The sequence below is a fragment of the Homo sapiens genome, chromosome 22 (assembly GCF_000001405.40).
Source record: "Homo sapiens chromosome 22, GRCh38.p14 Primary Assembly".
NCBI lineage: Eukaryota > Metazoa > Chordata > Mammalia > Primates > Hominidae > Homo > Homo sapiens.
Window position 1 is genome coordinate 18,771,941 of NC_000022.11, and position 23,607 is coordinate 18,795,547.

A 23,607-nucleotide genomic window follows, 5' to 3' on the forward strand; every position below is an offset into this window, starting at 1 on the left:
GACATTTGTTCACGTGTTTTCCTGCTGACCCTCTCCCCACTATTACCCTATTGTCCTGCCACATCCCCCTCTCTGAGATGGTAGAGATAATGATCAATAAATACTAGGGAACTCAGAGACTGGTGCCAGCGTGGGGCCTCCATATGCTGAGTGCAGGTCCCCTGGGCCCACTTTTCTTTCTCTATACTTTGGCTCTGTGGCTCTTTCTTTTCTCAGTCTCTTGTCCCAGCTGATGAGAAACACCCACAGGTGTGGAGGGGCAGGCCACCCCTTCAGGTCCCTGAATGTCCTTCCTCAGGAAATGATGGGGGAAGGGGCGATGAGAATGAAGGAGACGATTTAAGTCCCTCACCCCCCGAGGTAGTCCTGGGCTGAGCCCCATGGGACCTAGAGAACCAGGGTGTACCCCACCAGCATGTCGGGTCCAGGAAGCCTCGTGGCCAGCTCCCACTTCTCTTCCTGCTGTGCAACCCAGAGCAAGGCCTGCCCCTCCAGCTTCAGTCTTCTCCCCTGCAAATGGGGCCACGGCCTTTCCTCTCAGGCCAATATAAGGATTGAGGCCGGGTGCAGTGGCTACCCCTGTAATCCTAGCACTTTGGGAGACTGAGATGGGGGGACTGCTTGAAGTCAGGAGTTAAGACCAGCCTGGTCAACATAGTGAGACCCCATCTCTATTGGTTTAAATTTTTTTAAAAAAAATTAAATAAATAAAATAAGGATTGAAGAGTGACTTGTACACCAGTTGAGCCCACCTCCATCTCACCCTTGCAGAGCCCCAGAGACACAGCCCTCCAGAGCTCAGACCCAGTGGGACTTGACTCCACAGGCATAAAACCCTGTTTGTCTATGGGCCCTTTGGAATCACCAGGTTTTCGGGGCTCCTGAAGGATAGCCCCGACCTGGCCTCACCTGGCCCCTGGCCCCAGTGCCCCTGGTGATATCCAGGTGCTGGGCTGTGATCACCGCCTCCCACCAGCCCACCTCCACCAGCCCTTCCCAGAACCCTGCTCCAGGTGTTGGAACTGTGCACAGAGGAGGGAGCAGGCCCCGAGGGAGGCCTGGAGGGGCTGCCAATGGTGAAGGCTGCTGTGTCGAGCTGTTTCCTTCCGGACCCACTCCCTCTGGGCTGCGTCCCCGGCTGGTCCAAGCCCTGATCCCTGGGATCTGGGGACATCTTCCCGTTTGCTGTTCCCTGAGAACCAGGCCTCCCTCTGGAGAGGATCACAAGCTTGGGTTTCACTCTGGGCTTGCTCTTGGGAACCCCCCAGGGGCATGGCTCTGACCGAGATGTTTTCCTCCAGCCTGTTGCCCAGTCCCCATTCCTCGGACCCTCAGCTTCACCTCCAGTGTCATCGGCAGGGTGAGCTGGACGCCTACGGGTCTGAGAAGGCGCCCGGGTTCCCAGCATCGGCTGGCCACCCTCTGCCTAAGAAAGCGCCAGGGTCGTGACACCCCCTGGTGGCTGATCCTAGGTAGTGTCACTGCCCAGCCCCAGTAAGGGAGGGCCTGGCCCCAAAGTCTGAGGGATCAGGGTGGGAAGGGGCAGGGTTTGGTGTGAACCTTCCCCTGGCCCCCAGCCATGTGCCTTGCTCTCCCCATGCTGAAGATGCTGAGGCTAGTTCCAGTGCCCGCATTGTGAAGATCTCCGAATCCCACCTCTCTGTTCCTCCCCAGCCAGATGGCTCCATTTCACACACAATACACTGAGGCCCAGAGAGTGGGGAGACAGGCCAGGGAGGCCACCTGGAGCCTGGCACAGTGGCCTCATTTATTATGCTGCTCTGCTGCTCACAGGGGAAGCCCGTCCCCCAAAGTCCTCTTCCTCATCCTGGTGAGTATCTTGTCCCTGGATTGCTTGTCAGCCTTGTCTGCCTGGAGCACTCAGTAGCCAGCAGGTTCCCCGCCTTTCCTGGAGTCCGAGGCAGCTGCCCAGCCACCAGCCGTGCGGACGATGGCTTGCACCACAGCGATGAAGGTGGACGCGATCTGGGTGTGATGGTGCCGGGTCTCCAGGGCTGCAGTCACTGCCTGGGGGTGGGAGGAGAGGGGAAGCCTGAGCAGGGCTCCAGATGCCACCTGAACCACACCTGTGTGGTCACAGGCCTCAGCCCAGGTGGTGCCATTTCAGGCCAGGTCATCAGGAAGAGCAGGTTGGGGCCTGCTGGGTCTCACTGGAGCAGGGGGCTTGGCCCTCATGTCACAGGGGCTCCAGATGGCCCAGGCACTAGAGAGAGGACACCAACCATTGTCCACTCTGTGATGATCCAGGCCTCCAGCCCAGGATGCCCTGGGACCCCACACCGTGACTCAGTTTCTCCAACCCCCGGCCCACCTGGTCAATGTTTCTCTCCACTGTCGTGACGTTGGGCAGAAGCTTGTTGTGCAGCCGGGGCTCCTCCACGGCCCTCTTCACGTCATAGCCGAACCAGAGGTTGTAGATGATGGCCTGGGGCATGGGAGTGTGATCAGCGTGGCTTGGGGGCTGTGCAGAGTGGGCAGGGCCAGGGAGAAAAGGGGTGACACATACCAGTGCAGTGTCTGTGGTGATCTGCGTGCCCCCAGCAGCTCCCACCACCATCCGGACCTGGCCGTCCTGGCCCACCATGATCGTCGGGCACATGGACAAGAGCGGCTGCTTCCCTGCGGCCGATGGGAGAAGACAGGGATGCCCGTCAGCTGCCTGCCCAGGACACCCGCCCCTCTCCACCCCAGTCCCCCACCCCCCGGACCTCCACCCCATACCTGGCTGGATGAAATTGGCAGGTGAGGGGGGTGCCCCAAACTCATTGGTGATGCTGGGAGAGCTGAAGTCGTCCATTCATTATTGAACAGGATCCCACTGACCGGGGAGCAGACCTTGGAGCCAAAGCTACCGCCCAGCCAGGTCAGACAGCACCCGACCTTGCCTGGCCCAGCCTGGTCCCTATCCACCCACTGAGGCTCAAACATACTCACTGAGAGGCCCAGGATAAGCTACCAAGGTTGGGCCTCAGTTTCCCACCAGGAAAAGAGGTGATGGAGCCACCTTACTGGATAAGTGGGCAGTCCCTGGGCCACCCGCCCCTGGCCCTTTCCCACCCAGGCGGCCCAGCAGCCCCTACTAGAGGTTGATGGTGCTGGTGGCGGACACAGCACTGCCGTCCTCTGCGACGACAGACAGGTGAGCAGTGCCCCCGTCATCCGGCGTGTAGAACTCGGGCTTGTAGTAGGAGATCGGGTGAGTGGTGTGGTCAGAGATCTGGGACCGGAGCTGGGCAGCGAAGAACTCAGAGGTCATGTTGCGGACCACCTGCTGAGACCCCAGAGCTGGCCTGAGGAGGTGGGGAGGGGGCACAGGTCTCAGAAGGCCCTTGACTGTGACTCTGACCGCAACCCTCTGGCACCCACAACCTTCCGTGGCTCCCCAGGACCCAAGGGCAGGCCCAGGACCTTGCATGACCAGTCTGACTCCCTGTCTCTGTCGCGTTCCAGCAACTCTGAATGTCTGTCTGCCTGGTCCTCAGCCTCCAGACCCTTGCCACATTCAATCACTCATTCTTTCATGCAAAAAATATTTCTAGAATTTGCACTGCATGCCTGGCACTGGGGAATCAACAGGGAACAGACACTTAAGTCCTGCCCTCATGCCAAGAAAAACAAACACACACAGGGAAAGTGCTGAAACCACAGGCCAGGTAAGGGGAATCAAGAGGCATGAGGTATGGGCAGAGTGGTCAGGGAGGGCTTCTCAGAGGAGGCAACGTGTGAAAAGAGCCTGGAAAGTGGCCTAAATGGTCAGTGCAAAGGCCCTGAGGCAGGTGGCATAGGCTGGTGAGCGATAGGCAGAGAGTGAATGGAGTAGGGTGGGGAGAAGAGGATGAAGATGCAGGCTGGGGCCCATCCCACAGGACCTCCTAGGTCCCATAACAACTGGCTTTTGCTCTGTGCCATGCAGGCTTAGGGCAGAGGAATGAGGAGGCTGGGGAGTGTTTTCACAGGGTCCCTCTGGCAGCTATGACGGGGATAAGGATAAAGCCCAAAGGGGAGGCTGTGGGTATCAACCAGGCAAGAGATGATGGCCTGGGTGGGAGAAAGAGAAGAATCAAGCATGGTGCCGACTAGCGAGGCCGGCAGAAGGGGCCGGTTTGGGGATGGTCAGGAGCTTGATTTTGGATACTTCATCAGACCCAAAGAGCATGGGTGCACGTATAAAAAAAATAAATAAATAAGCATGGGTTCACGGGCAAGGGCGGGCTGAGAGATGAACATGGAGGTATTGACATTGAGTGGCTGCTGGATGCCATGAGCCTGGCCAAGGTCCCCAAGGCAGTGGCGAGGAGGAGATGAGGAGGTCAAAGAGGAGACAGAGAGGATGGACCCGAAGGCCGAAGAAAATGCCTCAAGAGAGTTTCAACACCGGGCGCGGTGGCTCACGCCTGTAATCCCAGCACTTTGGGAGGCCGAGGCCTGTAATCCCAGCACTTTGGGAGGGCGGATCATGACGTCAGGAGATCGAGACCATCCTGGCTAACACAGTGAAACCCCGTCTCTACTAAAAATACAAAAAATTAGCTGGGCGCGGTGGTGGGCACCTGTAGTCCCAGCTACTTGGGGGGCTGAGGCAGGAGAATGGCGTGAACCTGGGAGGCAGAGCTTGCAGTGAGCCGAGATCCCGCCACTGCACTCCAGCCTGGGGGACAGCCTGGGGGACAGAGCGAGACTCCGTCTCAAAAATAAAATAAAATAAAATAAAGTTTCAGCAACACCCCACGGATTAGCTGACCAATCCCAGGGAAAGGTGTTCTGTCTGAATCTGCCCTCAAGGAAACAGAAAGGCAAATCCACGATGTGGGACATTTTCCAAGACTACTGCCCTGGGCTTTAAAAATCAACAAAACAGGCCAGGCACGGTGGCTCATGCCTGTAATCCCAGCACTTTGGGAGGCCGAGGCAGGCGGATCACGAGGTCAGGAGATCGCGATCACGGTGAAACCCCGTCTCTACTAAAAATACAAAAAATTAGCTGGGCGCAGTGTCGGGCGCCTGTAGTCCCAGCTACTCGGGAGGCTGAGGCAGGAGAATGGCGTGAACCCAGGAGGCAGAGCTTGCAGTGAGCCGAGATAGCACCACTGCACTCCAGCCTGGGCAACAGAGCGAGACTCCGTCTCAAAGAAAAAACACACCTGTAATCCCAGCGCTTTGGGAGGCTGAGGTGGGAAGACAGTTTGATCCCAGGAGTTTGAGACCAGTCTGGGCAAGACCCTGTCTCTAAAAAAAATACAAAAATTATCCAGGTTTGGTGGCACCTGCCTCTGGTCCCAGCTGCTCAGGGGGCTGAAGTGGGAGGATTGCTTGAGCCCTGGAGGTTGAGGCTGCAGTGAGCCAAGATCACACCACTGCACTCCAACCTGGATGACAGAGACTCTGTGTACAAACAAAAACACAACAAAAACAAAACAGCCAAGGGAGCCTACTGTAGGTAAAGAGAAGGGACAGCAGGTTGTGTCACCCCGACATCCTGCTGTGCTATGTTCAAGTCTCACTTTTGAGACACACCCTGAGGTGCGACATCAGTAACCTACTGTGGAATCCCTCAGAAAAACACGAATCCCAATAGATGTGGGTGGAGACGGAGAGAGTTAGGAAATCCGGCAGAAATGTCCACACTGCAGAATCCAGGAAAAGGGAACATTGATGCTTGGGCAGTTTTGGGTTTTTTTTACATTTTTGTAGGTGCGAAAATTTGCAAAATGAAAACTCGAGGAGAGTGTGGTGAGCTGTGTGAGATGCTGCTGAGTGGGGCCTGATGGGGAAACTGAGGCTGGACATGGCGATCTGGTGGCATGGGGATAGAGCAGGGGAGGGGATACCCTGAAGGGAGAGAGGACATAGCCCAGCCATGTTTGCTCTAAGAGGAGCAAAGGACAGAAGGAGGCAGCAGATAGAAGTTTCTAGAGCAACAACAGCTGCCTTTTTTTTGGGAATAATCCGTGATAAAGAAATAAATCATCAGAGGCAGACAGGAGCATTGTAGGAACAGCACCCCGAGCCAGCGAGTAGATGAAGGAGCTGGCCTTAGCCAAAAAGGAGGGCAGAGGGACACGCTGCAGTGGCTCTGTCCCCTCAGAGAGACAAGACACCAGGTCACTGGCTGCAGCGGGAGTCAGAGGTGCAGAATGCTCACAGGGAAAGAGAAGACACCACCCGGGCAGCTGACGCCCCTCCTGGGAGGTCACTGGTCAGTGTGGGGGGGTCTGCAGATCCGCCCAGGAATGCCAAGGACCCAAGTAGGTAAGGAGGGATGTGAGGATCCTCAGCGGGAAGGGATATGACAGGGTCTTATAGGGACCCAGCATGGAGCTGGGGCAACTACTGGGTGAGTGGGTCAGGTGGTGCAGGGCTGAGGGTGGCATCTGGGAAGCGTTAGTTTGGAGTGACAGGGAGTGGGTGGCCGAGGTCTCTGTTCACCTGGCCCTCTCCCTTTCACCCATCCATCTCACCATGCCCGAGGGCTGCAATGCCCCCATGCATTCCTCATCTCAGCACTGAGCACTCAAGAACCACAGCATGTGCAAAGGACCTGAGGTAGGAGGGTGGCCACTAATTCCCCACACTGTCAGTTCTGTGGGGCAGAAGCCAAGACTGGGGGTCACCCACAAGTCCATCCGAGCACACAGTAGGCCCGCAATCAAATTCTGTGGCAGGAATGGATTCATAAAGCATATGTGAGGCTGTAGCCACCCTGGGGAGCCCACCTGATGCCTCTACGGCAGGCCCCACACCCACAGTGGGCCAGCCCCTGCCCCTTACCTCAGTCACATCCACAAACTTGGGGTCCCCAAGCAGGGTCCTCTTGGCGTAGGCAAACCGGAAAGCCTCTACGATGCGGTGGTACGTCAGGCCCTTCTGCTCGGGGGTCTCCACGCTCTCCCGGGAGAAGTTGTACCCTGGTTGATCAGAGCCAGGTGCATGTTGCTGAGCCCCAGAGGCTCTGAGGGGCTCAGAGGGTTAACACCTGCCTGAGCCACTTTGCCCACCTCAAGGAGCGTTTAATAATCAATAGCAGCAGCTGCTTCAGAAGGCTGTGGTGAGAGTGAAGTAAGGTGAGGGCTCCCGAGCCTGGACCTCACGTCACGCATCAGCTCTGGCCATTCAATGACCAAGTGGCAGGGTCACCCACTGGACTGGGGTACCCTCTGGACCGGCCCTGCAGCCCTGAGCTCCTGCACCTCTCTCCCTCCTGATGACTCCTGTTCCTCCTCCAACCCTTGAGCATTGCCCGCTTCAGCCCTGTTGCTCTGCACTGCCTCCTTCAGGACATGGTGAGCTGTGACGCAGGGACACACCTCAGGAGCTCAGTGATGGAAAGACGTGGCATGGGGGGCGAGCAGAGATGCAGGAGGGGTGGGGCGTGGGGAGAGAGAGGCAGTGTCATGGGTCCTACCACACGGCTGTGGTGCGACCACTCACCTTTGAGGATGTTGAGGATGAGGGCCAGCACGGGCCCGCTGAGCCGCGCACTGGGCATGTACAGCACCGCGTCTCCCAGGCTGATGTTCAGCGGGTGCTCGATCAGCTCAGCACAGTAGTTGTTCAGGTCCTCAGCTGTCACAATGCCCCCTGCAATGGGACAGCAGCTCGAATGGGCGCTGGGATGGGGCTGCACCACTGCGTGGAGGATGGAGCTGCACCAGTGGTGTTGGGGGCAGGCATGGCTGCACCATGGTGGTGGGGAAAAGCCTGTACCTACCAGGGAGGACAGAGTGCACTACTGGAGGGGTGGGACTGTGCCCTGGGAGGGGGCCACAGGCAACCTCACCTCCTTGGGAACCTCACCAGCTCCGGCACTCCTGTCTCCCTGACACTGCTCACCACCCGACAGCTGGGCTGGGGCCACCTGCCCTCTGCCTGCTTGGCTTACTGGCTTCCTGTCTGCCTTCTCTCATCTGTGGCCAGAGAGTGTTTTCTTTTTTCTTTTTTTTTTTAGAGATACGATCTTGCTCTGTTACCCAGGCTGGAGTGCAGTGGCTTAATCACAGCCTTGAACCCCTGGGCTCAAGTGATCCTCCAGCAGACCCTCCCCAGTAGCTGAGACTAAAGGCACAACTACACCCAGCAAATTTTAATTTTTTTGTTGTGTTTTGCTATATTTCTTTCTTTCTTTTTTTTTTTTTTTTGTGAGACGGAGTCTCGCTCTATCGCCCAGGCTGGAGTGCAGTGGCGCGATATCGGCTCACTGCAAGCTCCGCCTCCCAGGTTCACGCCATTCTCCTGCCTCAGCCTCCCAAGTAGCTGGGACTGCAGGCACCCGCCACCACATGTGGCTAATTTTTCTGTATTTTTAGTAGAGACAGGTTTCACTGTGTTAGCCAGGATGGTCTCGATCTCCTGACCCCGTGATCCACACGCCTCGGCCTCTCAAAGTGCTGAGATTACAGGCGTGAGGCACCATGCCCGGCCGGGTTTTGCTATATTTCTTTTCACTATGCTTTGAATTTTTTGTTTTCTTGTTCCCCACCCCCACCCCCACTATATTTATGTAGATTCTCAATATTTTTTTTGTAGACTCACTATGTTGCCCAGGCTTGTCTTGGACCTCCTGACCTCAACTTCTACCTCAGGCTCCCAAAGTGTTGGGATTACAGGCATGAGACACCAAGCTTGGCCTCAGAGGGCCTTTTCTCTCTTTTTTTTTTTTGAGATGGAGTCTCACTCTGTGGAGTGCAGTGGTGCAATCTCGGCTCACTGCAACCTCAGCCCCACAGGTTCTAGCGATTCTCCTGCCACAGCCTCCCAAGTAGCTGGGATTACAGGCACAACCCACCATGCCTGACTAATTTTGCATTTTTAGTAGAGACAGGGTTTCACCATGTTGGCCAGGCTGGTCTTGAACTCCTGACCTCAGGTGATCCACCCGCCTCGGCCTCCCAAAGTGCTGGGATTACAGACGTGAGCCACCGCACCTGGCTCAGAGGGCCTTTTCTAACTGGAGAATTCCTGCCGGTGTCCCTGCTGCTTGGCCTCTTCTCCTCACGATGAATGGATAGAGGGAGGGAGGGAGGCTCTTAATTCTCCTGGAGTCAGCTCCAGACAGGGTATTGGCATGCCAATTTCCAGCCTCAGTGGTAAAGGTCGACACGCTAATCACCCTCCTCCATGAAACAGTGACAAAAATTACCTGAAGAAAGCCACAGCCAAGCTCCAGGCCCCTGCCCCACAAATCCCCTTCCCCATGCCTCTCTCAAGGCGACCCTCATCCCTTGTAACCCTCTTGGTGAATCAAAGCGCCCTCTACTGGGCCTTAGCCCAGCTGTTCCTCTGCTAGGAATCCCTTCCTCTCTCTGCCTAACGAAGTTATCTGCAGCCCAGCCGCCACCTCCTCCAAGAAGTCCTCCTGGATCTTCAGGCTGTATTCTAGTGCTTCCCTAGCCCTGGCTCTTGCCTACACCTGCATTTACCCCAACAGGGACTTGCTCTCCTGGACTGTGTGGCCTCTCTTGGTTTTGATATAAGCAGGAGCTGTGGACCCACATGGCCAGTCACTGACCCTCCTCCACCAGGAACTTCCTGCAGGCTCAGGCAAGACAGGAGGACCCCATGGCTCTGGGCTACAGCTCAGGGTTTCCACTGCAGAGTTCCTCACCCAGGTCCTTGAGGTTACCCACTCACCAGCCGCCTGGATGTCCTTCACAATCTGGGCCATGAGGCTGCCGTTGTAGAAGGCCTGGGCACCCTCGATGGCCAGCATCTCGTAGGTGTCAGCCAGCCGCGGCAGGGTCAGTCTCTCCCCCTCCCGAAGCACCTTTCTATCCCGGCAGAACACCTCACTGGGGCAGAGGGGGCTCATGTGAGGCAGCAGGTGGGGTGGACTCAGCTAGACCACCCCCCACACCTGCCCACACAGGAGAACGGAGCAGAACAGGGGCAGCGCCTGTCACAGGTGGGTGGCCCTGTCACTCAGCGCTCGTCCTCCTAGTGTCCCTTCCGGGAGCCTCCTAGTGTCCCTTGCCACTCAGGACACGTGGCCAGCCACAGTGGCCACTGGGACCCCACGCTCAGAATGTGTCCCCACACGTGGTGGGAAGGGTCTGTATCTCCTCATCCCATTATCAGCACAGGGTCCTGAAGGCAGAGGGCCGCTCCACTGCTGCTACGGCCTGCAAGGTCCTTGGGCTGTGCCTGCCCTGCCTGTGTCAGGGGGCCGCACCCACAGACATACCACAAGACAGGCTGCTGCTCGATGACGGTCCGCTTGTTTTCCAGGACTGCCGCCAAGCCCTTGCCCACGGGGAAGCCCTGGCGGGCCAGCTGGATGCTGGGCTGGAAGAGGCGAGCCCAGGGCAGCCGCCCATGCCGCTGGTGTGCCAGCTCATAGCCTCGGATCTCCCCAGGCACCGCCACCGACAGCCCTCCTGGGGAGAGAGAGCCACAGTTAGTGACCCTGAGTGGGGGACATCGGGATCTCTCGCAGGCAGCATCCCAGGCACAGTCCCTGACTCGCTTTACAGATGGGGCAATGAGGCTTAGGAGGAAAGATTTTTTTTTCTTTTTTGAGTTGGGGTCTTGCCATCTTGCCCAGCCCAATCTCGAACTCCTGGATTCAAGCAATCCTCCCACCTCAGCCTCCTGAGTCGCTGAGATTACAGGTGTGAACAGCACACCTAGCAGAAGGGGATTTTTAATTTTTAAATTTATTTTTTAATTTTAATTGTTTTTTTTTAGGAGGGGATGTTTAATTTTTTTTTTTAGGAGGGGCTCAGCAGGTAGGAGTGTACATGGACCAGGGATGTCTGAGGAGGGCACAGCAGGGGAAGCAGTAGCATGCGGCTGGGTTTTGCTGTCCCAGGATGAGGTGTCTGTCTGTGCAGGTGCCTGCATGTCTAAAATCCTGTGCCAGGCCAGACCCCCTCCCATCTCGCTGACCACAAGGCCTTATCCTGTAAGACTCATGGGCTCCACCAGAATGTGCCAAAACAAGAGCAGATCCCACCTTGACCGAGGTCAAGCACAGGCCACCTTCAAGACACAGCCAGCCCCAAGAAAGGGCTCCCTGCCTCTTTTCTACTGCCCCAGAGAGGCAAGACTGAGCCTTAATCTCCGTCCTGTCCCCTCTCCCAGCCTCAGTTTCTGCATCCAACTATAAGGGTTTTTGTTTGTTTGTCTGTTTTGAGACCAGGGTCTCATTCTGTTGTCCCAGCTGGAGTGCAGTGGTGCAATCATGGCTCACTGCAGCCTTGGCTTCCCAGGCTCAAGCGATCCTCCCACCTCAGCCTCTGAAGTACCTAAGACTACAGACATACCCCACTGCACGTGGCTTTTTTTTTTTTTTTTTTCTGAGATGGAGTTTCACTCTTGTTGCCCAGGCTGGAGTGCAATGGCACAATCTTGGCTCACTCCAACCTCCACCTCCCGAGTTCAAGTAATTCTCCTGCCTCAGCCTCCCAAGTAGCTGGGATTACAGGCATGTACCACCACGCCTTGCTAATTTTTGTATTTTTAGTAGAGACGGGGTTTCACCAGGTTGGTCAGGCTGGTCTTGAACTCCTAACATCAGGTGATCCATCCTCCTCAGCCTCTCAGAGTTCTGGGATTACAGGCGTGAGCCACCACTCCCAGCCTAATTTTTTATTTTTATTTTTTGTAGAGACAGGGGTCTTGCTACGTTGCCAAGACTGGTCTCAAACTCTGGCCTCAAGCAATCCTCCCACCTCAGCCTCCCAACATGCTGGGATTACAGGTGCACTCAGCCTATAAGGGGTTTTGCCTTCCAGTTCTGACTTTTGAGGAGGTCATTGGAAACAGACCCCTGGGCCTGCTTCCCCCCGAGCCCCACTGCCCATATGGACACTACAGACACTGACCCTTTGCCCAGAAAGGTACAACTATGGCCTCTGCCCCCAGGGACTCTCCTGCTCTTGCGAGAGATGATGGGGCCATTTGCCTTGGCTTGGCGGCTGTGGCTCTAGAACTGCCTCTCCCACCCTGAAGCCTGGCACAAGTTTCCAAGAGCTGGTGGTTTCAATTCCTAGAAGCTGCACATATATCCCGGAAGGTCTGACACCCAGCATATGATTCCTTCCACCTTGTAGTTAGACAGAAGTTCTTTTTTGTTTTGTTTTTTTTTTCTTTGTTTGTTTTTGAGATGGAGTCTTGCTCTGTCTCCCAGACTGCAGTGCAGTGGCATGATCTCAGCTCACTATAACCTCCGCCTCCCAGGTTCAAGCGATTCTCCTGCCTCAGCCTCCCGAGTAGCTGGGATTACAGGCACAGGCCAGCACGCCAGGCTAATTTTTGTATTTTTAGTACAGATGGGGTTTTGCCATGTTGGCCAGGCTGTTTTCAGACTCCTGACCTCAGGTCATCCACCCACCTCAGCCTTCCAAGGTGCTGGGATGACAGGCGTGAGCCACCGTGCCCAGCCAAGACAGGAGAAGTTCTAATCTTTGATAGCAGACCAGGGTGACGATGCTTAGCAACAGTATTTTGTATATTTCAAAGTAACGAAGAGAGCACTATGGTGCTAACACCCAGAAATGAAAAATATTCAAGGTGACGGAGACTCCAAATACCCTGCCTTGATCATTATACACTCTATGCATGGAACAAGCACTCACATGTACCCATAAATATAGAAAATATCATGTATCAATATCAGAAAAAAATCTCCTCCTGACCTCAGCCCAATCAGGCTCTCATGCCACCACACTTGCCAAGTTCTCTGGTGACCCCCACACTGCCAGACCCAGTGCCCCCTCTCAGCTTTACTGGGCTCATCACTCTCCCTGAGAGCCGCCCCTGCATCCCAGCACCTGGCTCCACCCGAGTCTCCCCCGCCTGCCATCCTAGCTCCTACTCTCCCCTCTGTCTTTGCTCTCTCTCCTGGTGGTCTGCTTGACATCTGAGCTTCAGCCTCCATTTATGCACTGACAACTCTCAAATTGACCTGCTGGCCTGGACTGCTCCTCCGATCACCAGACCTGAGGATCTACCTGCCTGCTTGAAGAAAGCATCTCAAACTTCAACGTGCCCAAAACCGAGCTCCTGAGTGTCTGCTCAACCTGCTTCCTGAGAACCCTGCCTGTCTCCATTAGGGTCACCCCATCCTTCCAGGTACAGACAAAAGATCAGGGGTCCCCGGGGACTCCCTACACAAGCGTCACACCCAACCCATCCTCAAATCCACAGGCTCCACTTCCAAGTGTGTCTGTGCAGCGTCAGCCACTTCCCAGCACCCTCTCCACGAATTACTGCAGTGACCTCCGGACAGGTCCCCACATGCTCCCTGCCCCTTACACAGCAATCCAAGGGGTCCATAGACCAGATCCATCCCCTTCCAGTCACACACTCCACGAGCCCCCACTTCCCTCAGACAGGAAGCAGAGGCTTCACCATAACCTAAGAGATCCCGCACAACCTGGGCCATTCCCCTTGGATCACTTGCTGCAGCCTCCCCAGCTCCCCACAGGGCTCTGTCCCTGCCATCACACCTGGATAGCAGACCAGGAGATAACTCCCCTGACCCCATCTCTGCCTCTGGGTCTTTGCTCAGATGTCCCCTTCCCTGACTAGGTCACCCTCCATAGAGTCCCAGATTTTGAGGCCCTCCAGGTCTGTTTTTCTACAGCCCGTAACACACCCGCACTTGCCTAGTTTCTCCTCCCACCTGGAGTGTCACAGATTTCATCTGCCGTCTTTGTTTTTCACCCCAGCTTCAGGAACAACAGCTGATTCTTTAAGACAATGCTCAATACATTCTAGTCAAATAAATGGTTTTAAGCGTCCACAAGGTGCCAAGCCTATGATTCCCGCATTCTCTTACCCTCAGCAACTTCATGTCTACAGATGCTGAGTTTCTCAGTGAGTATTAAAAACAAATGAAAGATTGGTCGGGCACAGTGGCTCACGCCTGTAATTCCAGCACTTTGGGAGGCTGAGGCAGGGGGATCACGAGGTCAGGAGATCGAGGGACCAGCCTGGGCAACACAGTGAAAACCCGTCTCTACTAAAAAATACAAAAAATTAGCCGGGTGTGGTGGCGGGCGCCTGTAGTCCCAGCTACTCGGGAGGCTGAGGCAGGAGAATGGCGTGAACTCAGGAGGCGGAACTTGCAGTGAGCTGAGATCGCACCACTGCACTCCAACCTGGGCGACAGAGTGAGACTCCGTCTCAAAAAAAAAAAAAGAAAAAAAAAATCAAAGATTGAGTATGTTGCAGAAGACTCCAAAGGGCACCACCCAGGACCCCCACCTGAAGTCTAAGACCTGCTATGGTGAGTGTGTCCTGCCCCTCCATCCTCCAACTTTTTTTTTTTTTTTTTTTTTTTGAGACGGAGCTTCGTTCTTGTTGCCCAGGCTGGAGTGCAGTGGCATGATCTCGGCTCACAGCAATCTCTACCTCGTGGGTTCAAGCGATTCTCCTGCCTTAGCCTCCTGAGTAGCTGGGATATTACAGGCCTGTGCCACCACGCCCGACTAATTATTGTACTTTTAGTAGAGAAAGGGTTTCACTATGTTGGCCAGGCTGGTCTTGGACTCCTGACCTAGGTGATCCATCTGCCTCAGCCTCCCAAAGTGCTGGGATTACAGGCGTGAGCCTGTGAAAAAAAGGCCCAGCCTTTTTTTTTTTTTTTTTTTGACAGGGTCTCACTTTGTTGCCCAAGCTAGAGTGTAGTGGTATAATCATGGCTGACTGCAGCCTCAACCTCCTGGGCTCAAGTGATCCTCCCACCTTAGCCTCCCGAGTAACTGGGACCATAAGCACACACCGCCATACCTAGCTAATTTTTTTTTCCATTTTTTGTAGAGATGGAGTCTTGCTATGTTGTCCAGGCAGGTCTCCTGGGCTCATGCGCTCCTCCTGACTTGGCCTCCTAAAGTGCTAGGATTAGAGGTGTGAGTTGTTGAGACCCTCCCATCCTCCAACTTTTATCTCACACTCTATTGTGCCTCCTTTGGGGACAGACAGTGGCTTCCTGGATGGACAGTGGCTTCCCCTCAGGTACCTGGGGAATTTGGGGGCCTCCTCCCCACTTAAGACCAGATTAGAAAAGAGAGACTCCACCTCACATTCTAGAGCGCCATCCCCACAAATGAACAAATGAGTGAATGGGATGCCTGTTGAAAAGGCAGGATATAGACAGCCTGGGTTCAATTTTAGCTTCACCACCTCCCAGCTGTGTGACCTCAGCTGATTTGCATGACCTGTCTGAGCCTCAGCATCCCCACCCTGTAAAATGGGAATCCACACAGCATCCCCTTGCCCAAAGGAGCAGGGAGGGTTGTGAGAGGCTCGTGGGTGAAAAGCACAGAGCAGAGCATGGGCCCCAGTGAGCCCTGATCCATGAGGTCTGCTAGCATAATAATTATTCTTTCCATGTGCTGCACAGAGTGGCCCCGGAGGCCTTAGCAGAAATAACAGAAGCTCCCGGCCCTTTACCATGGTGATGATGGTCCTGACCACTCACTGTGGGAGGGTGCTATGGGGACAGGAAGGGATGGGGGGTGCTAGAACTGCCCCTGAACCCTGACGGGAGCAGGCTCCTGTGGGCAAGGCCCCTTCCCGGTGGCTCAGCCAGCTCTGCACCCACGCCCCAAGTCTGCCGCATGGCTTACCCTTCTGGGACTGCTCCGAGCTGTTGAACATGCTGGCAAAGGCCAGCCTGGGGGCCACCTCGCGGGCATTGATGACCTCAGCTTTTCCTAGAAGAAGCAGGTAGGCAGGCCCACCCACCAAAACCCTTTATGCCACGTGAGCCTGGGGGCCACCCAGCTGTGCCTCGGCCCAACCCACACCCCCTGCCCCTCTCCCTCTCCGCTTCCGAGGCACTCATGAGTGGTGCTGTTGTAGATGGTGAGGAAGAGGCCAACCCCGATGCCCATGCTGTGGGCATTCATGAGCCCCACACACAACAGGGCTGCAATGGCTGCATCCACTGCAGAGCCACCGTCCCGCAGTGTGTCCCTGCCATGTGGCACATAAAGGCATGAGAACCTGCAGGCTTCCACCCTGGCCCCGCATACACACCCTGCTGCCCACCTGCCCAAAGGAGGATGGAAGAGAAGTCCATTCGAGTTTTGGGGTTTTTGTTTTTAGTTTCTTTCTCTTTTTTTTGAGATGGAGTCTTGCTCTATTGCCAGGCTGGAGTGCAGTGGCACGATCTCAGCTCACTGCAACCTCTGCCTCCCGGGTTCAAGCCATTCTCCTGCCTCAGCCTCCTGAGTAGCTGGGACTACAGGTGCATGCCACCACGCCCAGCTAATTTTTGTATTTTTAGTAGAGACGGGGTTTCACCATGTTGGCCAGGATGGTCTCTATCTCTTGACTTCATGATCCACCTGCCTTGGCCTCTTTTTTTTTTTTTTTTTTTTTTTGGAGACAAAGTCTCTCTTTGTTGCTCAGGCTGGAGTGCAGTGGTGTGATCTTGGATCACTGCAGCCTCAGTCTCCTGGGCTCAATTGACCCTCCCATCTCAGCCTCCCAAGTAGCTGGGACTATGGGCACATGCCACCATGCCCAGCCAATTTTGTTTGTTTGTGTATTTTGTAGAGATGGGGTTTCATCATGTTGCCCAGGCTGGTCAAGAACTCCTGTGCTCAAGTAATCCACCCACCTTGGCCTCCCAAAGTGCTGGTATTACAGGCATGAGCCACTGTGCCCAGCCTTTGTTTTATGAGACAGGGTCTCACTTTGTCACCCAGGATGAAGTGCAGTGGCACAGTCTTGGCTCAATGCAGCTTTGACCTCCTGGGCTCAAGCAATCCTCCCACTTCAGTCTCCTGAGTAGCTGGGACTACAGGTAAGAACCACCACACCGGGCAATTTTTTGTCTTTTTCGTAGAGATAGGGTCTTTCTATGTTGCCCAGGCTGGTCTCAAACTCATGGTCTAAAGCAATCCTATCGCCTCAACCTCCCAAAGTGCTGGGATTACAGTTTCTTCTTTTTCTTTTCTTTTTTCTTTTTTTTTTTTTCTGAGACAGAGTTTCACTCAGTTGCCCAGGCTGGAGTGCAGTGGCATGATCTTAGCTCACTGCAACCTCTGCCTCCTGGGTTCAAGCGATTCTCCTGCCTCAGCCTCCTGAGTAGCTGGGATTACAGGCGCACACCACCATGCCCGGCTAACTTTTTATATTTTTAGTAGGGACAGAGTGCACCATGTTGGCCAGGCTGGTCTCGAACTCCTGACCTCAGTGGTCTGCCCGCCTCAACCCCCCAAAGTGCTGGGATTACAGGTGTGGACCACCTTGCCCAGACAGTTTCCTCTTTATTAAGCAAACAAATGTACATGACTTTTATAATTGGGACAAAAAGGGAAATTGCTATACTTTATTAATAACATTTTTTTTTTCCCTGCTAGAGATGGTGGCTTACACCTGTAATCTCAGCACTTTGGGAGGCCAAGGTGGAGGATCACTTGAGGCCAGGAGTTCAAGACCAGCCTGGGCAATAGAGTGAGACCATCTCTACAAAACAGTCTTTTTTAATTAGTCAGGTATGATGCACGCCTGTAGTCCTAGCTACTCAGGGGGCTGAGGTGAGAGGATCGCTTAAGCCCAAGAGTTCAAGGCTGCAGTGAGCTATGATCATGCCACTGCACTCCAGCCTGGGTGACAGAACAAGACCCTGTCTCAAAATATGAAAAACATAATATTTTTTCTGTTTAAGTCTTTAGGAGGGAACTTATCTTTATATATAACATGAGATAAGAGTCTAAAATAGAATAACACAGTAGAAGCCAGGCACCATGGCTCACACCTGTAATCCCAGCACTTTAGGAAGCTGAGGCGGGAGGATCACTTAAACCCAAGAGTTTGAGGCTGCAGTGGGCTATGATCGCTCCCCTATACTCCAGCCTGGGTGACAGAGTAAGACTCCACCTTAAAAAAAGAATAAGCCCTTCATGTCCCTGTTTGGGCAACAGCGTTCCTTGGGGGGAGGGGGGAGGGGGGAGGGATGGCATTGGGAGATATACCTAATGCTAAATGACGAGTTGGTGGGTGCAGCACACCAACATGGCACATGTGTACATATGTAACAAACCTGCACATTGTGCACATGTACCCTAAAACTTAAAGTATAATAATAAAATAAAATAAAAAAAAGAAAGAAAGAAATTGTCTCCTAACCAAAAAAAAAAAAAGAAAAGAAAAGAAAAGAATAAGCCGGGCGTGGTGGCTCATACCTGTAATCCCAACACTTTGGGAGGCCCAGGTGGGTGGATTACCTGAGGTCAGGAGTTCGAGACCAGCCTGACCAACATGGTGAAACCCCATCTCTACTAAAAACACCATAATTAGGCCAGGCGCAGTGGCTCACACCTGTAATCCCAGCACTTTGAGAGGCAGAGGTGGGAGGATCACAAGGTCAGGAGTTCAAGACCAGCCTGGCCAACATAGCAAAACCCTGTCTCTACTAAAAATACAAAAATTAGCTGGGCATGGTGGCACATGCCTGTAGTCTCAGCTACTGTGGAGGCTGAGGCAGGAGAATCACTTGAACCTGGGAGGTGGAGGCTGCAGTAAGCCAAGATTGCACCACTGCCCTCCAGCCTGGGTAACAGAGCGATACTCTGTCTCAGAAAACACACACACACACACACACACACACACATATACACACACACAAATTTGTTGGGCGTGGTGGCGCACTCCTATAATCCCAGCTACTTGGGAGGCTTAGGCATGAGAATCGCTTTAACTTGGGAGGCGGAGGTTGCAGTTAACTGAGATTGCACCACTGCACTCCAGCCTGGCAACAGAGCAAAACTCCATCTCTAAATAGATATAGATAGATAGATAGATAGATAGATAGATAGATAGATAGATAGATAATAGATAGATAGATAGATAGATAGATAGATAGATAGATAGATAGGAAGAAATAAGTAAAAATAACAACCAAACAACAAAACAGTGGAGTTTATCCAAAGAAACAGAGACTCTTAGAACTGAGAAAAGGGGCCCTGTTTGGCTCTAGAGACCCACACCCTGCTCTCGGAGTCACCGTCCCCTTCCCAAAGGCTACTGAGAGAGTCCAAGCGAAGCTTACATGTGGGGAAACTGAGTCTCAGAGGGGTGAAGGTATTGCTCAGGTCCACTTGCCCAGTTTTCAGGGCCCATGTCCCATGCCCTGCCCCGCTCACCTCCCAATCTCCAAGCACTGCTTGGCATCCGCGGCCACGGCAGCCCTGGTGTACACATGGTTGTCAGGTTCCTTGGAGGCCGAGGGCAGCCAGAGACAGAGGCCGACAATGACCAGCACCAGGACCACGGCCAGCAGGCCCAGCACCACTAACTTCTTCTTCATGGCTCTGCTGCACCCACGGGGTAAGGAGCAGGGTCAGGCCCAGCCTCAGACATGCCCTGGCCCCTCCCCAACAGGGCACAGTCTAAAGTCAGGCCTCAGAAACACAAGGCCTGTGTCTCCTTCCCGCTTCCCAGAATACGTGCAGGCTGTCCGGCCCCCAGACCTTTGCGCAGGCCATGCCCTCTGCCAGAAGCTCTGGGCCTCATCTCTGCCCTCCCAAATCCTCCCTGCTTATCTTCAGAGCCCATCCTGGTAAGAACCCCATCTCCAGCAGCGGCCCTTCCTGGGAGCCCCCAGATTTCCACACCCCTCTTTCTGCAGGGCCTGGCCTACCTCCTCACAGTGGCTGAGCCTCCACTGCTTAGGGAGAAGCTCCAGCAGGGATGGGCCTGGCCTGGTTTCTCCTGTGTCCCCCACCCCAGCCTAGAGCCTGGCACTGTCCAGGAGTCCTCTGAAGACCCTCCACCCCACCTGGAGCATGGGGTTTAGCTTCCATAGTGCCCACAATCAGAGCGCCCCACAGATTCACTGCCACGGGGCCAGGACTTACCGTCCAGCAGCAGACGGGGGCCCCAAGCCTTGCCTGGGGTGTTGGCCACGAAAGACAGGAGGATTTGGTGGAAACAGCTGAGGAAATAACCGGGGTCTCCCTCACACTCTGCTGAAGCCTGTAGCCACAGAATCTTCTTCAGAGACTCTCTGATCAGGCAGCCTTCTCGTTCTCCTGAAGGTCAAGGGAGGTTACCTGAAGCACGCACAGCCCAGACCTTTCTGGGGGACTCCGTGTTACCTCCCTCTGCCTCTAGCTGGTTTCTCTGTCTCCAGTTGAACTCTGGAGGCAAAGAGGCTGTCAGTAACACATTTGTTTCCATGAATTCTCTCAGCATGTCTCCCAGGCACAGGGTTTTGCACGGAGCAGGGCAGGTAGGGGACAGGGCATTCCTGCACAAGCCCAGGATGTGCATGCGGTAAGCATGGCAAAGGGGGCTCAGGGGGCACCGCCAGCCTGCCCTGCTCTGACGCTGGACTTGCCACTCACCTGCTGTGGGGCCTCAGGCAAATCACTGAACTGTCCAGCCTGGATGACGGCAGCACCTCACTTGCCTTGCTGCTGGGAGTGTTGTGAATAGAGTAGGTTAGACTGTGGGCAGGGCTTGGTGAATGGTAGCTGTGATTATCATCATGGCTGCACTGGGGACACCCCCAGGAGGCCTGAGTGGCACAGGTCTCTTGCTCACTGTATGTCCCCTGTGGACTCCCTTCCAGGCTGTGCAGTGAGTGGCAGCAGTGACCCTTGGGAAGTCTCATGGCTACGGCAGCAGGTGACAGGTGTGACAACAGGGAAGAGGGATGTGGTGACAGAGGTTGGGGTTCCCCTCTCCCACAGTCAGTTTCCCACAAAGGGCGGTGTCTGCCAGCAAGCCCCTCCAATGAGCCCCAAGCTTGGTTTCCCTCCACTCCACGCTGTCCCAGTGCAGAGCGTCTGACCTCAGAGGCAGACACACTGTCCCAGAGGTGGTCTATGAATGGAGTCCCCGTGCCCTCCCCACACACAGGGAACATCCAAATGCCATCATGGAAGGGTGGCCACCTCCCCAGGCTTGGTGGGCCTGGGGCCGATAGTGTGATACATTTGACCCCCTCCCAGCCCTGGATGCAGACACCAAGAGCAGAGAGACCTGGCAGTAGTCATGCAGCAGCGCACCACCCCACATCCTCAGCACAATCCAAAGCAGCCCCTCATCCCCACCGTGACCACCACAGCCTGAATCCAGGCGCCACCTGTTTCTGACCTGAACTCCCTCACAGCCCCCGCCTGCACTCCCTCCCTCCAACATCACCTGCCCTTCAGTCTTCCAGAAAGCAGCTAGAGGGCTCTGTCTGTCCAACTGCAGAACAGGCCCTGCCTCCTCCCTGCCCCGTTGGACAGCTCACACCCTTCACCAGGCCTGACAGCGCTCTTGCCACTCCAACACCCTGGGTCCCAGCTGGGAGTCCGGGTCAGGGTTAAGGGTTCCTGATAGAGACACCGATTCCTGGAGGTCCAAAGAGCCTCAGGAGCTGGGCCAGCAATATGCAGCATCTATTATGGACACAGAACATTCCCATCACATGGCCGGGTGCAGTGGCTCACGCCTATAATCCCAGCACTTTGGAAGGCAGAGGCAGGTGGATCACCTGAGGTGAAGAGTTCGAGACCAGTCTGGCCAACATGGTGAAACCCCCATCTCCACTAAAAATACAAAAAATTAGCCAGGCATGGTGGCAGGTGCCTGTAATCCCAGCTACTCAGGAGCTGAGGCAGGAGAATTGCTTGAACCCGGGAGGTGGAGGTTGCAGTGAGGCAAGATTGCACCACTGCACTCCAGCCTGGGCCACAAGAGTGAAACTCCGTCACACACACACACACACACACACAAGAAAAAAAAGGTCTCCTGCTGGGACACAGACTAGTTAGAGAAAGGAAAAATAAACAAATGATAGTATGTGTATTAATAAAAGAACTAGCAACACCCACTGCTTAGTTGTGATAATAAAAACTGGACATTAATATAGGCAGAAAAACAGAACAGCCTTGATATGGTTAACCCTTTGACACTGGCAAACACTGTGACCAGTGCTGCCCACACTGGAAGCTCCTGCATCCCTCTTCCTCATGTTTCCTTCAGCATTAAGGAGCAACAAGGGAGACAGCCAGTTCATAGTTCCTTACGCATGGAGCCAAAGGACCTTCAATGTACAAGGTCTGAGCAAGGACCCGCAGCCACATGTGCTTCCTGCTTCAGCAGTGCCCCGTGGGTCTCAGAGCTACCCAAAGGCCTATCCTTCCGAGAGGTTTCTCCTCTCTCCCAACTGATGTCATACGTCTCATCTTCCTTGTCATTCAGATCATCAACCACAAACGTCCTTGCCTTATATTTTCATATCCCTTTTCACCAGTTACAGGGTTAGTTAACTTACGAAATTCTTAACATCTGCATTAGATCTTTTTAAAGTTTCACCCTCAACCACCTATTATTTAGAAGTGAACACAGAAATTTAGTTTCCTTGTGCTATCTGTTGACCCCTAAAATATGCTGGGAGTTTTGGGATTTTTTTTAAAGTCAAATGCATGGCATAAAGCAAAATTACACTACTAAAGAACTGAGTCAGGCCAGACGCTGGCAACGTGAAGACAGCTTCTCCTTACCCACTAGGTTCATCTTTGCACTGTTAACTCCCAAAGTATTGCTTCTCGGTGCTGGGTGTGTGGCATTCATATTCCCCGGCATCCCGGGCCTGAAGATCTGTGATGTGCAATAGGGTTGGGTTCCCCTGGACTCTTTCTATGAAGATCTTCCCTCCGCGGACGCGCTGGGTGTAGATGGCATAGGGGAAGGAAGAGTCCATGGTGCTGACGATCTGCACCTCTCGCTCTGGCGACGAAGGCAGGTAAATGGACCACTGGAAATTCTGTTCAGAAGGTCCCTGGTAGCCACTCACATTGCACCAGATAGTGATGTGGGAGCCCTCCGTGCGGTACAAGGGTCCTTCCTGAACGGTGACCTGCCGCTGTGCTGACACCACACCTACGAGGGAGAGAAACACACGCAACATGCTCACTTACTTCTCAGACCAAAATGCAAAGTAGGCAGCAATCTCCAAAGGGTTTGTTATTTGTGTGACATGATAATAATATAAACAGCTTACTGGCCCTTTCAAAGGCACTCTGTGATTTATAAATATTAATTAAAACACTCTGTGGTAAAGCACTGTCCCTAATTTGCATATATATGGGAATTTGATCATGCCAAGATGTGCTTTTGTTACTTATTCAACAGCTGACCCTTGGGAATTTCATTTAGCCCCTCTGTTTGTCATGTATACGGCAGTTTTATATCTATTTATTAATGCTGTGTATAAAGTTTTTAATAAAATAAGCAGGAAAAGTTGAATCCTTGGCACAAATTCAGATGAAAACAAATAAAAGCAACCATCTAGGAATCTGGCTGAAATTAAATGCTTCTTCCTTGGTCCGAGTGCTGGTGGGAGGGAGTCCTGGGAGCACCTTTTTACTGGTGCTGCACCCTTCATTTTCCCATGTAGCTGCTCCCCAACACCACCCCAAGGAGCATTCCTTAGTTTCTCTTCCCTCCATAAATGGAGGCAGGGCTGAGCTCCTGCAGGCTGCTATCGTTTTAAGCTGAGCACACCCAAATACAAATGTGAAGGGCTGAAACAGATCCCTGATGCCCAGATTCCCACAAACTGACAAAGGGGGGAACTAACAGTGCCCAGCTAAACCTGTGACAAGGACAGTCAGGCTACCCTTGAGTTTCCCACTC

General features: G+C 54.0%; 1 pseudogene across 1 annotated transcript; it reads right to left on the bottom strand.

The window, feature by feature from the left end:
- Nucleotides 1–1,748: 1,748 nt before the first annotated feature.
- On the bottom strand, nt 1,749–20,021 carry GGT3P (gamma-glutamyltransferase 3 pseudogene; annotated as a pseudogene). The gene is made up of 13 exons (NR_003267.1): nt 19,833–20,021; nt 19,119–19,289; nt 15,805–15,939; nt 15,591–15,671; nt 10,199–10,391; nt 9,649–9,806; nt 7,450–7,599; nt 6,790–6,926; nt 3,102–3,289; nt 2,743–2,869; nt 2,528–2,640; nt 2,333–2,446; nt 1,749–2,028 (listed from the first exon to the last, which is right to left on the bottom strand). The product of NR_003267.1 is annotated as a gamma-glutamyltransferase 3 pseudogene (transcript).
- Nucleotides 20,022–23,607: the final 3,586 nt, after the last annotated feature.